Here is a 22,353-nt window from a genome sequence, read left to right as displayed (position 1 = left end):
AGAAATCTGCTGTTAATCTGATAGGTTTTCTTTTATAGGCTACCTGGTACTACTGTTTCACAGCTCTTAAAATTCTTTCCTTCATCTTAACTTTGGATAACCTCATGACAATGTGCCTACGCGAAGATCTTTTTGAGATGAATTTCCCAGGTGATCTTTATGCTTCTGTATTTGGATGTCTACGTCTCTAGCAAGGCCAGGGAAGTTTTCCTCAATTATCCACCCAGATATGTTTTCCAAGCTTTTAGAATTCTCTTCTTCCTCAGGAACACTGATTATTCTTAGGTGTGGTCATTTAACATAATCCCAGACTTCTTGGAGGCTTTGTTCATATTTTCGTATTCTTTTTTCTTTGTCTTTGTTGGATTGGGTTAATTCGAAGACCTTGTCTTCGAGCTCTGAATTTCTTTCTTCTACTTGTTTAGTTCTATCGCTGAGACTTTCCAGAGCATTTTGCATTTCTAAAAGTGTGTCCAAAGTTTCCTGAATTTTTTATTGTTTTTTTTCTTTATGCTATCTATTTCTTTGAATATTTCTCCCTTCACTTCTTATATCATTTTTTGGATTTCCTTGCACTGGGCTTCACCTTTCTCTGGTCCCTCCCTGATTAGCTTAATATCTAACCTCCTGAATTCTTTGTCAGGTAAATCAGGGATTTCTTCTTGGTTTGGATCTATTGCTGGTGAACTAGAGAAATTTTGGGGGGGTGTTGAAGAGCCTTGTTTTGTCATATTACCAGGGTTGGTTTTCTGGTTCCTTCTCATTTGGGTAGGCTCTGTCAGAGGGAAGGTCTAGGGCTGAAGACTGTTGTTCAGATTCTTTTGTCCCACGGGGTGTTCCCTTGATGTAGTATACTCCTCCTTTTCCTATGGATGTGGCTTCCTGTGAGCCGAACTGCAGTGATTGTTGTCTCTCTTCTGGGTCTAGCCACCCAGCGAGTCTCCCTGGCTCCAGGCCGGTACTGGGGGTTGTCTACACAGAGTCCTGTGATGTGAACCATCTATGGGTCTCTCAGCCATGGATACCAGCGCCTTTTCTGGTGCAGGTGGTGGAGGGTGCAGTGGACTCCGTGAGGGTCCTTAGCTTTGGTGGTTTAATGCTCTATTTTTGTACTGGTTGGCCATGTTTTAATGCTCTATTTTTGTGCTGGTTGGCCTCCTGCCAGGAGGTGGCGCTTTCCAGAAAGCATCAGCTGTAGTAGTACAGAGAAAGATATGCGGTGGGCAGGGCCCTAGAACTCCCAAGATTAAATGCCCTTTGTCTTTTGCTACCAGGGTGGATAGGGAAGGACCATCAGGTGGGGGTGGGGCTAGGTGTGTATGAGCTCAGCAGCTCCTTGGTTGGGTCGTGCTGGGGCTGCTGTGGGGAATTGGGGGTGAGATTCCCAGTTTACTGGAGTTGTGTACTTAGGAGGATTATGGCTGCCTCTGCTGAGTCATGAAGGTTGTCAGGGAAGTGGGGGAAAGCCAGCAGTCGGAGCCCTCACCCAGCTCCCACGCAAACAGAAGGGCCACTCTCACTCCCACCGTGTCCCCCCTAACTGCCGGGAGTCTGTTTCCAGGCTGAGGGCTAGATGGGCTTGAAAACTTCCCCGAGGCTATCCACCTCTCAGCTACGAAAGAAAAGGGCTTTAGTTCTTCCTTCCACCTGTGAAGTCTGCGAGCTGGATTTGCACCCTCCCCGGAGTTCTGGCCAGCAGGCTTCTCACCGCGTTCAAATTGTTAGAAAGTTAGGCTAGAGAATTCCTTTCCCTGTGGGGTTTTACCCCCTGCTCCTCTAGCCACCCTCCCAATGGATCCTTGTGGTGCCAGGCAGGAATGGGCTACTTAAGGACCCAGGGAGCTCCCAGGGCCTTTCTGCTGCATTCTCTACCCCTGTAATTCACTAGGCTTGGCTCTCTAACTTGATTCAGCTCAGGTAAGGTCAGAAACTTCTCCAGCAAACAGACCTTCAGCTTCTCCAGTGGGGGTGTGTGTTCAGGAGAGGAGGGTCTCCCTTTCCCACTTGCACAGTTGGGGCACTCACAGTATTTGGGGGTCTCCTGGGGCCTGCAGGAGCAATCCGCTTCCTTCAGAGGGTCTGTGGGTCCTCTCGGGATTGCTGGTTTGTTCTTGCAGTGGATCTGGAGCTCAAATTCACAATGCAAGCCACCACATGCTGCTCTGTCCAGAGCTGCAATCTAGTCCTGCCTCCCTTCGCCATGATCCCAGGAGCTCCTCTCTTTAGTTAGGAATCATTCTGATGGTTATTGCTTAACACATCTAGTATTGACTAAAAAGTTACACAGTAAAGCTTAGATTAACAGATATTTTCTTGCTTAAATATTGTACAGTTCAACTGATATGTTTTAACTGGCTTATTCTTTAAAGAGAATTATATTAATCTGAACAAGTGCAGTTTCCCCCTCCCCCTCTTTGGTCCCCTTCCCCCCACCAGTGTCCTGCATTTCAGACATATAGTTCTGTGTTGTAGTCTAAAAAGTTTGTAGAGAGAGGTTTAAAAATCTTGTTTCCAGGTGTATGTATTACAATCCAGTGGACTTGAGTAAAGGTTCTGGATACCATTTAGAGGTAGTATTTAGTGTTAGGGAAACGCCTTTGCCTGTTGTCTAATTTCTAATCGACAGAAGAAGAAAGGCTATGTATCTTCTAAACTTGCTTATTTCAGTTTTAGTTAATTACCCCCCAAAACATATGTAACTCCAAGACAACTGGGATAGTAGAGTCCAGTGACTAATCATTTCTGTGACCTTGGACCTGTAGGCCTCAGTTTTTCTCAACTGTAGAATGTGGGGTTAGAGAATATGATATCTAAAATTTCTGCCATTATGACAACATAAGATTCTAAGTTATTCATGTTTATTCCTTTATTCATGTCATTTATGAAATGATATAAATGGTGTTATCTTTTTTTCTCATAAAGATTTTTTATTTTTACTGATGTGTTGTAAAGACTATATGAGATCTTTGAGAAAGTTGCTAATCAATCTATCAATATATATTAAACTCTGGAGAGCTGGGATTTAGAATAGTTAAATCCATATAAACTAACCTTTATTTTCAAGAAGGCTGCTTCAAATCATGGCAGATTTTGATTTAACAGAATTTATTGGGCACTTATTATTCTGTACATTATTTTGCCTAATTCTTAAAATAACCCTGATTTATCACAGTCTCCTCTTTGGCACATAACATTTTTGAAAAAAAGTCTTTCCAATGGCAACTTCTCTAATACTATTGAATTGAGAAAATTAGGCAAGCACGTAGTGTTACTTTAAAAGGGAATTTTCCAGGATTTTTTGGCATTTGGTGAAAGACTAACAAGTCTTTTGGGTGTTACTGTTTGATGAGGAAAAAGTATGCTTTCTAATCAACCTATAAGAATAAATATCATTATTATAACCTTTTTTGTTGTTTTTTCCTTTTACTTCTTTTTTTTCTTGTGGAAGCCACAAGACAAGGAAAAAGCAGAAAATACAGGGACTTCCTATTTTTTTTTTCAGTGCTTCCCTGGAAATAGCGTTATGAAACAGAACATCATTTTCCTCACACTGATCTGAGGAAAGCTTGCAGTGATCTTTTTCTTCCTTCAGATGGCACTGTCTGTCATAAGGTGTGCAGCTAGTACTGAGCATTTACATAGAGCTATAAAATTTGTCAACAATGTTTACTGAGGTTATATAATTTCTTAGGCTCCACATAGCAACTCTGTGGGGTAGTTTATGGAAGAGGCAGCCAAACTTCACACAGCTCTGTGTGACTAGCTAGTAATTGCTAGATTCCTGATCTGCGGCTTCTGGGTCCTATTTCACTACTGTCATGATGCCTACTGTATGTATATCCCACTATTCAGAACAGATTCATAAATAGTGAAAATAGAATGAGCTGGAGCATATTAATAAATATCTATTAAAATATTTACTTAATAAATAAATATTGGAATTAATGAATTTATGAAAAAGGGAACTGTAGCACAATGGACCCCTTTCCCTTCTTATCACTGTGGCCACTGGCTATTTGATATTTATTGAAAAGGAAACTCAGCCACCTAGGGACCATTTCTTGCCCTGTTGTTGAGCTTGAGATTTTATTTTCAGTGGTACATGTAATGTCCTTGGTAGCATTGTCTAGAACACAGACATGACAAGGCATCTAAAAATGCCATTATATGAGGAGCTGCCCTAAAAGTGAAGAATATATGTGGTCATGACTTGCTGTGAGGGGCGGGTGTAGTAGTTCTCTGTGTCAAGAAGATAAATGCATGAAAATCCACAAGACTGAGGGTGATAGCTTAATTCTGTAATCTTTTAGGTGGATAATAAGTTGTGGAAATTAATCACAGAACTGGAACAGAGCTAAGATATCAAAGTTAACTATCCAGATGTCTGCAGGAAGTCTCATTCAATGAAAGCAGAGCCACTGTTGACTGACTTTAGTGACCATTTCATTTCCAGAAGGTAAAGGAAATAATCCAGGGAACCAGTACTCTTGAGTCTATCTTTGACCTAACTTGACTACGAGGGGCTTAATTAGACAAGTTAACCTAATGAAAATCCTGAGAGAGAGGCCACGCCATTCATTCGGCAAATGAGTAGAATCGAATGCCTGCTGTTAGCTGTGTTCTGTTCTAGATGCTAGAGATTTAGCAGTGAATACAACAGACAAAATCTCTGTCATTATAGGGCTTTCATTTTAAGAACTTACAATGATCTGTTGTCCAAAAATACTAGCTTCATGGTTACTTAACTGCAAGGACCTTAACTTTCACTTCACTTTAGACATCTGCTTGCAGGGCCACACTGTGGATGTTGTCATCTGGGACCGCTTGTTTCAGAAATCTAAAAATTCTAACATCTTCATTCCCACATTGTGTACTCTTCAGTCTGGTAGAGATCCACACTTCCTTGATTGCCTGGATTTTCTGCTTGTCTATCAACATTTATTTTCCTGGCCTCTTTCTTTTTCCTACCCAGTCTGTGTCTCATTTTTGGCCATAAGGACTGTTCTTCCACCCATACCCTTGGGTCCCCTTCACTTATGCTTCTGCTGCCTCCACCCACCAAAACTCCCATTTCCAGATCAGTGATAACAGTCTGCACTGTCTATTATTAGACCCAAGCAGCTGAATCCTGCTGGTGAATCTGAAATAGCTGAAAAAATCCATACCACCAGAAATTCATGGTTTTCCACCTCTGCTAAGCTAGTAGCCAACCAGTAAATTATTTTGTCTGTCATCACTACTTTCCCCCATTTGACTATTCTTCCAATAATTATTCTAAATTACTTAGCCTTTAGCCCCCAATCTCTAGACTCTCTTCTTTAAGCAGACAACTTTGCCTATTACTTGAATGAAAAAATTGAGCCAGTCATTCTTGAGCTCCCTCAGTTTCTGGCCTTCCACCTGTTTTCTATATCTGCAATTCTCCTTACCTCCTTTCCCTCAGCCTCAGAGGATGATGTGTCCCCTCCTGCTTCCCCGCCCCAGCCTAACCTCTTCACCTATACCCTTGATCCAATCCACACTTATTTTCTCCATGAATTTTGTCCTTCATTCATTCGTTCTCTTGCCCCTGTCTTCAGTATCTTCCCTTGTGCTGGCTGCAGTGGTATGCTAGTAAAGTGGCTCTCCTGGAGAAAGAAACAAAAAAGACCCTAATGTGTAGCATTTGCCCATTTCCATGATGGAAATACTCTCACCATGATGATTTTAAGCTACCAACATGGTGCCAGTGATGCTGGGAAGAAGTACACACAATCAGAGCTGATAGGAGATGGCTGGCCACGCCGCACCACCTCTTATTTCTTATAGCCTAAAAATACGGTTCTTCCAATTCTTTAAAAAATACAAATACTTGAAAAAAAAAATTCCTTAACCTATGCCTCCTTCTCCAGCTCCTCTCTATTTTCTGTTTTTCTTTTCTAATCCTGCCTTCTCAGGAGAGTCTATACTTGCTATTTCCTTATTCGGTCTGGTATTGGAAACCATGAGATGGAGTTAAGGATAGTTGTTGAGAAGGTATACATTTTGAGCATTGCTGAAATTGGAATGAAAGGCATGGTGGATTTAGTCTCAGTAGTCACTGTAAAGAAGTTAGTCACTGGCCTAATAGACAGAGGACTCAGCTCACCTGGTGTGGAGTGGTTTTGCCCTGACAGCAGACTCTGCACACGTGCCTCAGTTCTTCTTGTGTGTTCTTCGCAGGTGACAGTACCATTTATCCAGTTAACCAAGCCAGTATTCAGAGAGTTGTCCTGATCCCTCCCTTACCACTCACTTCTCCATCCAATTAATCACCAAAATTGTGCTCATTTTAATTCTTGGATATTTAATAAAATTATATTATTCTACTGTTGCTTTAGAAAAAAATATCCTTACCATTTGCTTGGAGTATGACGCCAGTCTCCAAATTGGTTTTCATGCAGCTAGAGTTTTCTCCATAAAATGTGTCTTCCACATTGCCACTAGAATGACCTATGTGTTCAAGATTGACCATGCCACTCACATGTTCAAAATAATTCATGGGCTTCCTGTCACCTGTAGCAGTGAGTCTCAGCCCTGACTGTTCATTAGAATCACCTATGAAGCTTGTTAAAAATACCGATGTTTAGGTCTTGCTGTGGGTTTAGCAGATTAGGTTCTCTGATCATGGGGCCTAGACAAACTCTATAGGTGATTCTGATAAGACTCACTAGCCAATAGATTAAAGCCCAAGGTTCTTAGCATAGTGTACAAAAGCCTTTCACCATCTGGTCTTTGCCAGCCACTCCCTCCATCCTCACTTTTCCTGTTTCTCATTTTGTAGTTGTGATACCAAACTTACTGTAATTTCTTCAGTGACAACTTGAGCTGCTGTTTCCATCTCTAATGCTTTTCTTCCCTTCTTTTCTCCCTTTACCTGTACAACTTCAATTTATTCTTCATGAAGCTTCCCTGGCCACTCAAATTGGGTTAAGTGCCCCTTAGCAGTACATAGTACCCTATATATTGATTTGCCTTTGCCACCGTAATGTAATCTTCTTGAGGGCAGAGACTGGAATTACTTTATGTTCTTAGTGTCTGATACAAAGTGGTTGTTTTGTAAATGATAGCTGGCAGACTAATAAGCAGGAAGAGGAATATGGAACAAAGCCGGAATATAGAGAATTGGAGTACAGAGTTCCTAAAATTCGAAGAAAAGGTAGGTAAGATGCCAGAGATAGTCTCTTGAAGGGAAAGTGGTTACAAGGTGATAATAGGCAGTATCTCTACTGAACAATTGGAAATAATATGTGAAGGAAAGGGAGAGGGAACATGGCCACATGAACTGATGATTTATTTTATTTATTTATTTATTATTTTATTTTATTTTATTTTATTTCATTTTATTTTATTTTTTGAGACAGAGTCTCGCTCTGTCGCCCAGGCTGGTGTGTAGTGGCGCGATCTCAGTTCACTGCAACCTTCTCTCCCAGGTTCAAGCAATTCTCCTGCCTTAGCCTCCTGAGTTACTGGGACTATAGGCGGTGCCACCGCACATGGCTAATTTTTGTATTTTTAGTAGAGATGGGGCGTGGTGGGGGGGGTTCTCCGTGTTGGCCAGGCTGGTCTCGAACTCCCAATCTCAGGTGATCCACCCACCTTGGCCTCCCAAAGTGCTGAGATTACATGCATGAGCCACCATGCCCAGCATGAACTGATTTTTAAATAATGTGCACAAGAAAGAAAGAAGGATATGAAACCAAATGGTCGTGTGCAGTGGATCACGCCTGTAATCCCAGCACTTTGGAAGGGTGGAGGTGGGCGGATTACCTGAGGTCAGGAGTTTGAGATCAGCCTGGCCAACTTGAACCTGGGAGGTGGAGGTTGCAGTGAGCTGAGATCATGCCACTGCACTCCATCCTGGGCGACAGAGCGAGATTCTGTCTCAAAAAAAAAACTGTATATATATATATGCACACATACACCCACACATATAAAACCTATAGAATAGGAACACAGTCCTGGTAGAATAATGAGCTAAGATTTTGAAAAAGTTGGGCTGACCTTTTACATTTTATATGTAGAGAACGAAAATGAGGCCAGGTGCAGTGGCTCACGCCTGTAATCCCAACACTTTGGGAAGTCAAGGCGGGAGGTTCACTTGAGCCCAGAAGTTCGAGACCAGCCTGGACAACATGGTGAGACCCTGTCTCTACAAAAAGAAAGAAAGGGCGCAGGGGTGGGGGATAGGGCAGTAGGGGGAGAGAGAGAGAATGAGTATGACAAATAAATAATAGATTCTTACCAACAAATGGACCCAATAATCAGATACAGAGAACAAATGAAATTTCTTAGCTTTCTTCTCTTCTCTGACATGGAGAATGATCTACACACAGACTAAGAAGGGTACAAGTGAGAAAAATAAGAGGAGAAAATTGAAGCCCAAGATTGGGGAGGAGATTGTATCAGAACTCTGGATGCTCTAAAATGAATTCACATCTCACGGTCAGATTCTGAGAACATTTGTTAATGTCATTGCTCAACTAATAATCTTTGAGTAATTATAGTGAAATGTGAAAACTTGTAGAAGCCTGTGGAGGAATAATGTTCTAAAATTTAAAAAAATGTAGCTTCCATAGATTTTTGTAAACTTGATGTTACTTCCACAAAAGACTCTAGAGATCATTTTTAAAGATTTTCAAATATTATACTTAAAGAAAAGATGAGCAATAAAGGCTATGTAGGCTTTCTAAGAATTCATTCCAGATAACCCAGTTTCTACCTATAGAGTCTACATTTACAGATTAGGAGAATGCTGCAGCTGTAATATATCTAGATTCCCATGGAGTATTTGACAGTCCACCATTCTATACTTGGGAACATGAAGGAGAGTTGGATTATAGTATGGGTATAGTTATTGAACAATGGAACTCAATCTTGATTTAGTTACTCATTGGCAGCCTGGCAGGAAGTCTCTTATGGGCTGCTGTTTTTTGACCCTGTTACACTCATCAGTTTAACACCTCCTTCCCACTTCTCACTCTCAGCTGGCAGTCTTGCTGTTTATTGCACCAAGAAAATAGAAGCACCTGAAAAAAATTCTTGGTCCTCCTATTGCCAAATATACTAATCTTCCTACATCTATACTCGTATTCTCTGACATTCTTCTTATTCAATTAGATGAACTGCCACTGTTCCTTCCACTTGTATGTTGGTCTTCTTCGTTTTGCCTACTCATTGTTCCTAGAATTCTCTCTTCTCATTCTAGTTTTTCATCTATTTTCCTTTCTCTGTTAGAGAAACATACTATGTTTCAGCTTAGAAACAAGCTATAATATTAATCAGGTTTTTTTTTAACCTCACTTATCTCATGTCCTCCTCAAGCCATCACCCGTTCCCTTGCATGCTTTGTGGCAGAACTTCTCAAAAGAGCTGTTTAAATTGCTTGCCTTCATTTCCTCACCACTCTTTTCCACCCCACCAAGACCATTCTTTGAAAAGATTGTCAGTAACTTCCATGTTGCTAAATCCAGCAGTCAATTCCCAGTCTTCATCTTACTTAACTTAACTTCTCAGAATTCTTTTTTTTTTTTTTTTGAAACAGGGTCTCACTCTTACCCAGGCTGGTATGCGGTGGCTCAATCTCAGCTCACTGCAACCTCCCCCTTTCAGGTTCAAGCAGTTCTCATACCTCATCCTCCCAAGTAGCTAGGATTACAGGTGTGCACCACCATGCCGGCTAATTTTTGTATTTTTAGTAGAGATGGGATTTCGCCATGTTGCCCAGGCTGGTCTTGAACTCCTGGCCTCAAGTGATTAGCCTACCTCACCTTCCCAAAGTGCTCTGATTACAGGCTTGAGCCACTGCACCCGCCAGCTTTCTCTCAGAATTTTTGATAGCATTGGTTACTCTTTTCTGTTTCAAGCTTTCTTCACCTGGTTTCTGGGAGATACCACTCACCTGATTTTTCTCCTGCCTCACTTGCTGTTCCTTCTCAGTCTCCTGTGTTGGATACTTACCCTCTCCATTGACTCAGCCATGCTAAGCCCAGGGCTCAGTTGTAAAACCTCTTCTCTGCTCCCTTACACTCATTCTCTAGGTCCTCGCTGTTCATTATAGTAGCCCCTAGCCACATGTGGCTTTTGTCTGCTATATTGTGTGGCAGAAATTATAGAACAGGCTCATCGTCTCAGAAAGCTCCGGTGAACAGCACTGTTCTGGGTTATTTCATCTGTCTAGTTCCATGGCTTTAAAAATTTATTGATGATATCCTGATGATTCCCAAATTGATTCACTAGTTCCAGCTTCCCTGCCTGTTTTGATCTTCAGCTGCCTACTTGATTACTTAATTTCTAAGAAACCTATCACACCTAACATAGCTAAAACTGAACGTTATTTTCCCTCACAACTGTTCTTATGTCAGTCTTACCTATCAGTAAACAGTACTATTCTTCACACAGGCTAAAAAACCTTATAGTCTTTTTTGGGTGGGCATTGGGAGGGACTTGCATTCTTGGGGAGAAATGGTTTCAGGGGAACACTTCTATTTCCTCTTTCCATGCTTACTTTAGTTCCTGAGAAGGAAGAATGGGTTGACTTTTCTCACTTTTTCTTTGCAATTATTTTTTACCTCTTGTCCTCTTGCACTCAATATCCCGTACATCCAGCATACATTTATCTCAGTGGCTTGGAACGCACGTTTCCCAGATACCCACATGGTCCATTTACTTATTCCATTCAAGTTTTTGCTCAAATATTACTGCTTCAGACCTTCCTTGTCCATCCTATCTGAAACAGCATTCCTGTCACTCTATACCCTTACTTTGTTTTACTTTTTCATCGAATTAACATGACCTGACATTATAGTGTATGTTTGCTTTTCATCTGTCTCCACCTCACTATAATACATGATGGTAAGGATTTTGATTCTGCTCTAAACTCAGTGCATAAATTAGTAGCTCACATACAGTAAATGTTCAATAACATTTGTTGAATTAAATGGCATATTGATGAAACTTCTGATGACATAAAATGAGAGGTAGCTAATACATTAAATCAGTGTTTGTGTATGTATGTTTTGTTTTTGCTTGTTCATATTTTACATTTTACCAGTCACTATATGAGGAAAAAGTGAAACATTATTTTTCTGAGGAGGTCATTTATATGATTATAGGCATTTGTTACTATGTTTTTCATTTACGGTAAATGCTAAGGATATAAAAATTCTACGAATATCGTTGGGGCAAGTTTTCTTTGTTATGACATTATAACAATTGTTGTATTAGAAATTGAAATTATAGTGATAAAGTTAGATTTAAAATTGGGCATTATAGCTATGAAAGGTAAAAAGTAATAAGACAGGGTCCCTGGCCTTAAGTAACTTGTGACCTAGAGGGTGAAACAGTCATAGATAAGTAACTACAGGGTGTGTCTATGTAGTTTGGAAACAGAGGCAAATATATAATGGGCTAAGGGCATCATTATTAAAAATGTATCTATACTTCCAGATGTTCTGGACACCTAGAATGATACAGGATGATAAAAATTAGAATACAGGTGTGTATAAAGAGTGCTGGCAGACTCAAGGAGGACACATGTGACTGTGCTGGTGGTTAGAATTATGATCTTGGATAAAATGAAACTGCATAGATATTCAAGTGAGGCTTTGTAAACTACAGAGATAAAGAAGCCATGCCAGTTTAAGAGCATTAGAGAAATCCCTCAGCTTGGCCTAGAAAATGTCCCTCGATAAGAGAAACAGACGGATCTAGCTGACCAGCTGCCAGCTTTCACTTCTTACGGCCACGCTGAGTTAGCTGGAATCATCTTAGCATTGCAAGATAGATGGCTCTACCTTGTGGTAGTCCAAGCTGGAGGGTGGTAGTAGTCAGAGCAGCTAATATAATACCATCTTTAGGCTTACAGTTTGATCCATAATTTCCCTTCCATAATTTTATTTTATTTTTTCCCCTTCCATAATTTTAAAGTTAAAAATATCTCTATGGGCTGGGCACGGTGGCTCACATTTGTAATCCTAGCACTTTGGGAGGCCGAGGCGGGTGGATCACCTGAAGTCAGGAGTTTGAGACCAGCCTGGCCAATGTGGCGAAACCCCCCCCCATTAAAAATACAAAAATTAGCCAGGCATAATGGTGGGCGCCTGTAATCCCGGCTACTCGGGAGGCTGAGGCAGGAAAATCACTTGAACCCAGGCGGCAGAGGTTGTTGCAGTGACCCGAGATCGCGCCACTGCACTCAAGCCTGGGCGAAAGGGTGAAACTCCTCTCAAAAAAAAAAAATTTGCATGATATTGATTAGCTCAGGAGGCAGCAGGAACAGGTATGGAAGGTGTGTTAGGACTCTATTCCAGGGCTGTTCCACTTGGTTGAGCCGTTGATATACTGCTTTCTGGTGCTCTGCCAGAGGAATGAGGGGGTGAGACTGAAATATACCCTGTGCTTTGATAGCTGTGTGCCCTGCTGTGTGGAGCTGCACCCATCAGGAAGGGATGTTTTTTCCTAATTCACACAAAGCCCTGCATTGTCTAACACAGCTGTTTTCTGCCTGGTTTATCTTCAAGTGCCTAGAATAATGTGTGGTACAAGAACTGGTTGGCAAGCTGAAAGAAACTTAAGACAGTTTTCCAGATTTGAGCATTTTGAAGTAATTAAAGATCACTCCTGGGCCAGGTACAGTGGCTCACGCCTGTAATCCCAGTACTTTGGGAGGCCGAGGTGGGCAGATCACTTGAGCTCAGGAGTCCAAGACTAGCCTGGGCAACACAGCAAGACCCCATCTCATTTTTTTTTAAATAAAAATAATTTTAAAAATCAATCTGATTTTAAAACTTATAATTCAAAATATCTTCATGTTTGCCGCATAACTATGATAAGGAAACATTCTTCATGCTTCTTCCTGGTAAGCACTGTAGAGAAGGGGAGAGCAGGTAACTAAAGAGAAATATCCTGTTGCTATCCCAGAAATAGAAATTTATCCTTTAGTCTTCTAGAAATAACCTTCATTATATTCTACTCAAAAGATTAATTCATTTAAAAACTTCAATAAAGATATGAAATTTGATGGTGATTAATAAATTAATGTTTGGCTTTGGTATTGTCTAAGTTCTTATGTATCCTCAAATACCTTTCATCCTAACAGGAAAGTAATGGCTGTACCTAGGAACTCTGAGTTGAAAACCTTTTTGTCGTGATAGTATTTAGATATTCCGCTGCCTCCTAGATTCTAGTGTTAAGAAGACTGGTCTAATTCTCCTTTGCAGTTAACTTGTGATTTACCTGGAGGTTTTAAGTTAAGAACTGGAAGAGGAAAAGTAGAGAGCTATTATTGAGTTGCTTTTTCAGATCACTATGTTCCAAGATTCCCTCTCAAGAGGAATTCTTGAAGTAGGCATTTTTTTAGTGTGCTCCTAAGATCTAAAAATTTCATTGGTGGTTTCATACATCATGTATGAAGACTGGCCACTGATTATGTCACAACTTTGTTAAAATTATTTGTGGTTTACTATTGTGATTAATATGTCTTTTTTTTTGTAGGTGAAGCTTTGTTCTAAGAATATTTGTTTCATCTAGTTTATGAGTCCAAATGATATAGACTGTAAATGTCACAGCAGTGGTGAAAGACTGGTAAGTATATAATGTAATAAATATTAACCATCAACATGATTTTGAAGGCTTGAAACTACATAATTATCTGACATTCGTTAAACCCCAAAGTTAAAACAGCTAAACTTTTCTTAGTAGAGATGGATGTATAGTTTGTGGTTTATTCATACAATGGTATATTGCATGATGGTTTAATGGAATGAACATAACATTAAGAGGAAAAAGCAAAGTTACAAAAGGATATATACAGTATACTATTTATATCTGGTTGTTGGCTATAACCTCATGTTATATATTCTTTGTTTCTGGGTACTTTAAATATTAGAAAAAATTTAAAGAAAATACCGTGCAATCATCTCTTCAGTTGACATTAAAAATGACTGAAAGTCATTCAATTAAATTCAATATTTCTGTTAGGAAGAGGTGAATACTTCCTAATATACAAAGCAAAAGTGTCCCCATCACCACAACTGATGTTGTTCTGTTAGTGCAAACTGATACAATTAGATAGAATAATGGAAATTGTATGAATATTGGATAAGATAATTCAGAATTTTTGTTATTTGTAGATTATAGAGTATTATATCTGGGAAATTCAAAACAAAATAATAAAAAAGCTCAGAAGTTTAGATATATGATTATTATATCAAAAGAAATCCACTTCCTATGTGCCTACTATATACCAGTTTTAAATCCTAGAATATGTTACGGAAAACAAAATCCCATTCATAATAATGGCAAAAATATAAAGCGCCTTGGAGTAAACCTAACAAGAAATATGTAAAACCTACCTTATGAAATAACGGCAATTTCTACTTCAAGGAAGTAATAAGATAAAGGGGCAAGTAGTATAAGGGTGTTAATTGTAGCTTTGTTTATGATAATAAAAAGCTAGAAACAATCTATTCAAAAATAAGAGATTGGCTACATAGTAAACTATAATATAATGCTATATATGTAATATTTACATGTAGCAGTATGCCATACAGCTATTAAAGAGTGAGAGCTCATGTGAAATGTTTTTCAATATATCTAAATTAAATAAAAGCAAGTAATCATGTATATACACTAACCTATTCATATAAACATGTATATATTTTAGGTACATTTTTAAATCAGGAAAAAACATACATTTCTGTTGAGATTATAATGCCTTTTACTGATATGGCATTAACTTTTATATCTAAAAATTTATATTGATTTCCATTTTCTTAATTTCTAGAAGATAGACTTAATTATTCCCATAATTTTTCAGTTTTTCACATTTTTAATGTTTCTAAAGTTGCAGTGTATCTTGCAATGGATAGTGTCTTATAAGCACTTGTGAAGTAGTTGACCTGGCCTGCACATGAGTGCACTTGATCATAGACTTTCACATTGTCAGTGCTTCAGCAGACTTCTGTGCATTGCTGGTACTATACCTGTTGAGTTTTTAAATGTTTTCCTGGTTGTTTTCTGAAACTTTCTGCTGATACCATCTGGTAAGATCAAGAAAGCACCAGCATATAAATTTATAGAATGACGTTAGTAGCTTTGAAGGAAAATCCCAGAAACGATACTGCAGTACTCTTAAGTGCTGTGGCATGAATGGTCTTGATGGCCCAGAAGGTGATATTGTGGGGAAATTTTATGTGATAAGAAGCATTGTGTCATAGTTTAATTCTTTTTTAGTGGTGTACTAAGTAATTATGTATCCTAAAATTATGAACAGATTCAATGAAATATATTAAAGTTGGATAAATATGAACTGAATATAAATTAGGTTATTGGATTTATTTAATACTTTTACTTTCTGAAAGCATATAAAGAACCAATATTAATATATAATAGAGGTTATTGCCGTATTTTAGAATGAGAGATGCACTTTATATTTTTCTCCTTTCTAATATTCAAAAATATTAAAAATATTGATGTTTGTTATACTAAAAGAGAGTTACTGTAATACCTAGAATTTTGATGGGAATCAAAGAATTAAACTGTGAGGTCCCAGGATGAACAGGAACTAAGGTAGTATTAGGAATTTCTCTGGTACTTCCCTTTCATTTTTATCTACTTCTCTTTGTATCCCGTTGGTTCATTTTTACCTGGTTGGCTTCTTCTGACCCTCAGCTACCTCATAATGACTACCACAGCCCCATCTCTGCGTGACCTTTCAGGACATCAACTATATCCCTTTAGTTTAAATTCCCGAGAGAGAAAGAAAACCTGATTAGTCCAGTTCCTCTTTGCAACCCACACTATACGAGTCACATCTTGTGATGAGCATGGATTGTAGCTGAACTGGGGCCCAGAGCTTGACTGTGCCTCTTGGCAAGAGGCATAGTCATATGTGCACTGCCCTCTCAGCAGGGACTGTGGGGAGGGCTTCCCCCTGAAGCGGGTGAAGGGAGGTGAGGCAATACATGTCTTATTTAACTTAACATCTCTATGTTAAATATCTTTTAAAGGTTACTGGATACCTCAAAATTACTTTTAGCCCAGAGATGAAACTATTTTGAAACTCCTTGGGGATTTCGTTGTTCATGGTTTTTCCCTTCTGGAAATTTGTACATTTTCCTCTGTATTTATGTTCCCCTATTCTGTTTGCTGTAGCTTATTTCCCTTAATCTTAAAATGTCACATTACCCTTTATTTGATTTAAATATGTCATAAGAAGTGAAGTGGCGTAACTTTAGCTATTAGAATTTTTCAGTTTTTATTCACCTGATTGGAAATCCTTTTTATTAACTGAACTTTGGTGTTTGGGGAGGATGGGTCAGTGATTGTGGGCTCTATCAAGTGAAAAATGGGTTATATTTTTAAAATACCAATTTATTATAAAATATATAAAGCAAGAACATTTTATAAGTAATGGGTTTATTTTTATTGTATTTAAGAAAGAAAGTCTTCTCTCTTAAAAAGAGAAAATGTTTTCCATCCAGGTGCTGTTACTTACCTATTCTCAGCTATGCTCAGGTATTTCAAGCCTGGGACTCATTTCGCCATGGAAGGAATTATTTAAGAAGCACCTGACTAGGTCAGAACTATGCCTGAAAATATTATAGGGTTAAGTACCAATTTCCAGTAATTTTAAGCCAATCTTCAGTTAGAAACAAACAACAAAAACACATAGTTTTAAAAGTAAATTTGTATTTGTTTTCCTAATCTTTTTTTTTTGTAATACTTATTTTATAGCTCGGTCATGAGCACCGACAGTAACTCACTGGCACGTGAATTTCTGACCGATGTCAACCGGCTTTGCAATGCAGTGGTCCAGAGGGTGGAGGCCAGGGAGGAAGAAGAGGAGGAGACGCACATGGCAACCCTTGGACAGTACCTTGTCCATGGTCGAGGATTTCTATTACTTACCAAGCTAAATTCTATAATTGATCAGGTAACATTTTTATATCAAATACTTACTTTCATCAATATATGATAGTTAACTGTAGCTACATGGTTTTGGATTACATAGTTTCTGAAGCCTCCTTGAGATAAAGTCCAGTCTTTCACATTATTCCACTAAAAAAAAAGTGGACCTATTTATAACCATATTGTTTATTTGAATACTTTCAAAACGTCTGAAATATCTTAGAATTATGAATTGCCTAAGAACTAAATGGTTTCATATATACTATGCTTTTTATCGTAATATCAGTGAGATAACTATGGTTCTTAGTAGAAATATAAGACATAATCTTATATCCCTGTATCTTATGTCAGAAACATGATGAATTTTCATTTTCAATAAATATCAAGTATGTTTTTGAAAAATTTTTGGAGGCTGCTAATTCTGGAGTGAAAGCAGAGACCTCTTATGTGAACTAATAATTACTGAGTCCTTTAGCTTGTATACATCTAATTTATCAAACGTTTTTGGCTTAAAGTATGGTATGACCATATGGTTTTGCTGTTTTCTTATTATAAAATTAACAGAGTTTTAAAACTAGTTGAGACTAGATGTTTTCATCTAACCTTCTTTTACAGATGAGAAAACAGATCCAGAAACATTAAGTACTCACATAAATTAATTTTAAGGCCAAATGTGATTTATATCTTTATTTCATTTTAGTAGAAAATGAATAATTATTTTGTGATCGTAAAACTCTACAATCTGCTTTCAGGGAACTAATTAATATAGTTAGTTGAAAAAATAATGAAGTGTTTGTAACACCAATATGATGGATTTTTTTTAACACTTTGAATGTTACCAGCTTTAGATGTAAAATTGGCCATCATTAAATAAAATTTCTTTGCTGTGAAAGCATTTTGCTAATAGATACATATATTGAGGAAATATGGAGACTAAAACAGTACTTCTGTTTTCACTGTAAGCTAAGGAACATAGCAAATACAAATTAGGAAGCATTTACTTGTCATGGAATTTTCAGGACATTTGTAGGTTTATGGTTTTTTTTGAGACACAGAGTCTCGCTCTGTCGCCCAGGCTGGAGTGCAGTGGTGCAATCTCGGCTGACTGCAACCTCCACCTCCGGGTTCAAGTGATTCTTGTGTCTCAGCCACCTAAGTAGCCGGGACTACAAGTGTGCATCACCACACCCAGTGAATTTTTGTATTTTCAGTAGAGATGGGGTTTCACCGTGTTGACCAGCTGATCTTAAACTCCTGACCTCAAGCAGTCTACCCCCGTTGGCCTCCCAAAGTGCTGGGATTACAGGTGTGAGCCACTGCACCCAGCCAAGTTTATGTATTTTTATTCTTTTTCATGAATGTGATTTGTTAAATGAGTGATTAAATATAATTTTTATATATTTGTATGACTTTTCTGTAAATAAAATTTAAAATCAGAAAAAATCATGTTAGACCATGTATAGTGATTTATTTTGAAATTTTGATTATTTAATATGTACACCATGCTCTGTTCTTCCCCACAATAAAAAAATTCAATGCTTTGTCTTCTTTAAAATATACCATATAAATAGCATCAGTAATAGTAAATATCGAGGAATGACTCTAATAAAATATGTACAGTACTTCTGCATGGAATTCTATAAAACATTATTGAGAGAAACTAAAGAAGACCCAAATAATTGGAGCATTATATAATGTTCATGTATTGAAAGAATCAATATTATAAACATACATGTTTTCTCCAAATCTATAGATCCCAATTTAATCCCAATCAAAATCTTAATAACAGCATTATTAAAAATAACATTATTGAGATATAATTCACATATCTTAAAATTCACCCATTTTATGTGTACAATTCAGTGGCTTTTAGTGTAGTCACAGGTAAGTGCATCTGTCACCACAGTTAATTTTGGAATATTTTCATCACCTCCAAAAGAAACTCCATACCCTTTAGCTATCGTTCCCCTATCCCTTCCATTCCCCTACCCCTAAGCAAACACTAATCTACTTTCTATCTCTCCAGATTTTATGCTTTCTCTTTTATGTCATGAAATGTCTTTTAATGTATTACTAAATGACTGAAATAATTCATGTCATAACAGCAGCAATAATTTTTCTTTTGGGAATATTTTGCTAGTCTGTAGTGTTAGCCATTCTAAAAGAATATGAAGTAGTATCTTATTGTAGTTTTAGTTCACATTCCTCTAACAACTAATGATGTTGAGCATTTTTTCATTTGCTTATTGGCCATTTGTATATCTTCTTTTATGAACATCTCTTTAAAAGTTTTGTACCATTTTTAAGGTCAGGTTATTTATTTATCATCAGTTGTAGCAGTTCTTTATGTATTCTGGAACCAAGTCTATTGGATTCCAAATACGGTATTTTCTTTGTATATATGGTAAATAGAATACTTTCTCTTTTAAGTCATAAGATATATTTTAAGATATTAAATGACTAAAATTATTTAGGTCATAAGTTAAATATTTTTTTCCTGTGGTGGTATTTTTTAATCCCTTCTTTCCACCTAGTCACTTTTTGGAATATCTGTAGCAATAATAGTAGGAACAGTAGATGTGCCTTTGGAGTGAAAATAAATAGCCATTTAAAACATAGGCCTTTATCAACATTTAGTTCTTTCAATTAGGAAATGGAGAATGAATGTTTGAGTTTTTAAGGGGAATTAATTGAATGATATTTTATCATTTAAGATGAAATCATAACACTAGACACATAGTTGTATGTTTTAGGAGGAAATTTAGTTTTTCTATCTGTGCTTCTCATGAATAGGAGCACTTCTTGAGTACTCTGGGGTGATTTAAGCCCTTTCCCACCAACTGTAGTCCGTTTGCTTTATTAATATTTATTTATTTATTTTTGAGACAGAGTCTCACTTTTTCACCCAGGCTGGACTGCAGCGGCACAATCATGGCTCACTGTAACCTCAGCCTCCAGGGTTCTAGAGGTTGTCATGTCTCAGCCACCTGAGTAGCTGGGATTACAGACGTGCGCCACCACGCCCGGGCTAATTTTTAAAAATATTTTTAGTAGAAACAGGGTTTTGCCATGTTGGCCAGGCTGGTCTCAAACTTCTGGCCCCAAGTGATCTGCCCGCCATGGCCTCCCAAAGTGCTAGGATTACAGGTGTGAGCCACTGCGCCCAGCTTATTAATAGACATTTAATATAAAGAAGTAAATAAACTTTTTATTGAGGTATAATTTATATACAGTAAGTGCACAGATAATGTGTATGCAGTTAGATGAATAGTGACAAATACACCTCACATCAGTAGTCCCAATCCTTTGGGAGGCCGAGGTAGATGGATTACTTGAGGCCTGGAGTTCGAGACCAGCCTGGGCAACATGGCAAAACCCCATCTCTACAAAAAAATACAAAAATTAGCCAGGTGTGGTGGTGTGTGCCTATAGTCCCAGCTACTCAGGAGGCTGAGGTGAGAGGATTGCTTGAGCCTGGGGAAATCAAGGCTGCAGTGAGCCATGGTCGTGCCACTGCACTCTGACCTGGGTGACAGAGTGAAACCCTGTCTTAAAAAACAAAACAAAATCCAAATATTTACACCTGTGTCATCACCACCCAGATCATTGTTTAGAATATTTCCGCCACCTTAGAAAGTTTTGTCATGCCTTTTTTTTCAGTCAGTCCCTCCCCTTCACTCACTGCAAGACCACCACTGTTGTGACTTTTAGCATCTAAATGTAGCTTTGGAATCATGTAGTATGTACTCTCATGTCTCTGAAATTCATCCATGTTGTTGCATAATTCAGTAGTTCACTACTTTTTAATTTCTGATTAGTATTTCATTGTATGGGTGTACTGTAATTTGTTTAACCATTCACCTGCTGTTTAATCTTTTGAGCTGTATGCATTTGGCTATTATGAATAAAGCTGCTTTGAACATTCCTATAAAAGTCCTTGGATATGTTTTCATTTGTCCTGGGTAAATATGTAGGCATACAATTTGTGGGCAAAGGGTAATGTTTGTTTAATTTTGTAAGAAACTGCCCAACTGTTTTGCAAAGTAGTTGTACTATGTTTCATTCTTACCAGCAGTGTATGAGAATTCCAGTTCTATATCCTCTCTAATATTTGATATTGCCAGTCTTTGTAGTGTTAGTCATTCTAAGTGAATATGAAGTAGTATCTCATTGTAGGTTTAATTTGCATTTTTCTGGCAATTAATGATGATGAGCACTTTTTCTATATTTATGGGTCTTTCTAGACTGCATTGTGTTCCACTGATCTTTCATGTAGTCTTTTATCAGTACCCTGTCTAGATTACTGTGGCTTTTATAAAAATAAGTTTGGAAATTAGATGTTGTAAGTTGTCTAATTTTGTTCTTGTTTTTAAAGAAAGTTTGGCCATTCTAGATCCTTCATATTTTCATATAAATTTTAGAATCAACTTGTTATTTCTACAAAATGCACACTAGGATTTCATTTAAGATGGCATTGAATCTATAAATCAGTTTACAGAGAATTGACACTTAACAATGTTGAGTTTTCCAATGCATGAACATGATATCAAACTCTATTTATGTCTTCTTTAGTTTGTTTCTCTGCACTATTGAGTGGTTTTCATTGTAGAGGTCCTGCCTGTTGTTTGGTTAAATTTATTCTAAATATTTTATTCCTTTTTGATGCTATTATAAATGGTATTTAAATTTTTTTATTTTCCTGTTGTTTGTTGCTCATAGAAATACAATTGCTTTTCGTATGTTGATCTTGTGTCCTGTGCCTTTGCTAAATTCATTCATTAGATCTTGAAACTTTTCTGTAGATTCCCTAGGATTTTGTATGTAAATAATGATGTCATCTGTGAATGACAATTTTACTTTTTTCCCAATTTGTATGCCTTTTATTTTGCTTTCTTGACTTTTGCACTGGCTTCTAGTACAAAAGCAGATGGAAGTAGTGAAAGTGGACCTCCTGGTTTAGTGTCTGACCTAAGGAGAAGCATGAGGTATTTCACCATTAAATGTGATATGAACTCTCAGTTTTTCTTAGACACCTTTTATCAGAATGAGGGAATTTTCTTCCATTCCCAATTTGTTGAGTTTTTATACTGAAGGGATGTTGAATTTTGTCAAATGCCTTTTCTGCATCTGTTGAAACTATCATATGATTTTTCTTTTTTATTCTGTAATGTAGGTAAGTTATCTTGATCGTTTTTGTTGTTGTTGTTGTTGTTGTTGTTTTCTTTTTTTTGAGACAGAGTCTCAACTCTGTCGCCCAGGCTGGAGTGCAGTGGCGCGACCTTGGCTCACTGCAACCTCTGCCATCCAGGTTTAAGTGATTCTTCTGCCTCAGCCTCCCAAGTAGCTGGGATTATAGGCACCTGCCACTGCACCTGGCTAATTTTTGTAGTTTTAGTAGAGACGGGGTTTCACCATCTTGGCCAG

At 37.9% G+C, this 22,353-nt stretch overlaps 1 protein-coding gene across 15 annotated transcripts in view, besides 1 other annotated feature; it reads left to right on the top strand.

Moving 5' to 3' along the window:
• LYST (lysosomal trafficking regulator) overlaps positions 1-22,353 on the top strand; it is a 222,683-nt gene that overhangs the window by 36,534 nt on the left and 163,796 nt on the right. For 14 of the 15 annotated variants that reach the window (XM_011544032.2, NM_001301365.1, XM_011544031.2 and 11 more), the window contains exons 2-3: positions 13,513-13,602; positions 16,756-16,954. In XM_011544032.2, coding sequence (XP_011542334.1) covers positions 16,763-16,954 — 192 coding nt within the window. In that variant the 5' untranslated portion in view covers positions 13,513-13,602; positions 16,756-16,762. Of the gene's footprint in view, positions 1-13,512; positions 13,603-16,755; positions 16,955-18,143; positions 20,858-22,353 lie in introns of those variants that run through there. The other variant, NR_102436.3, reaches the window with a different exon arrangement.
• Positions 4,879-5,078: an enhancer, noted in NCBI's record as "active region_2804". NCBI's record gives its function as "activates an Ori minimal core promoter by ATAC-STARR-seq in GM12878 lymphoblastoid cells {active_cell/tissue: GM12878}" and the evidence as "EXISTENCE:reporter gene assay evidence [ECO:0000049][PMID:35858748]".

The sequence above is a fragment of the Homo sapiens genome, chromosome 1 (assembly GCF_000001405.40).
Source record: "Homo sapiens chromosome 1, GRCh38.p14 Primary Assembly".
NCBI lineage: Eukaryota > Metazoa > Chordata > Mammalia > Primates > Hominidae > Homo > Homo sapiens.
This window is presented reverse-complemented; position numbering and strand designations above follow the sequence as displayed.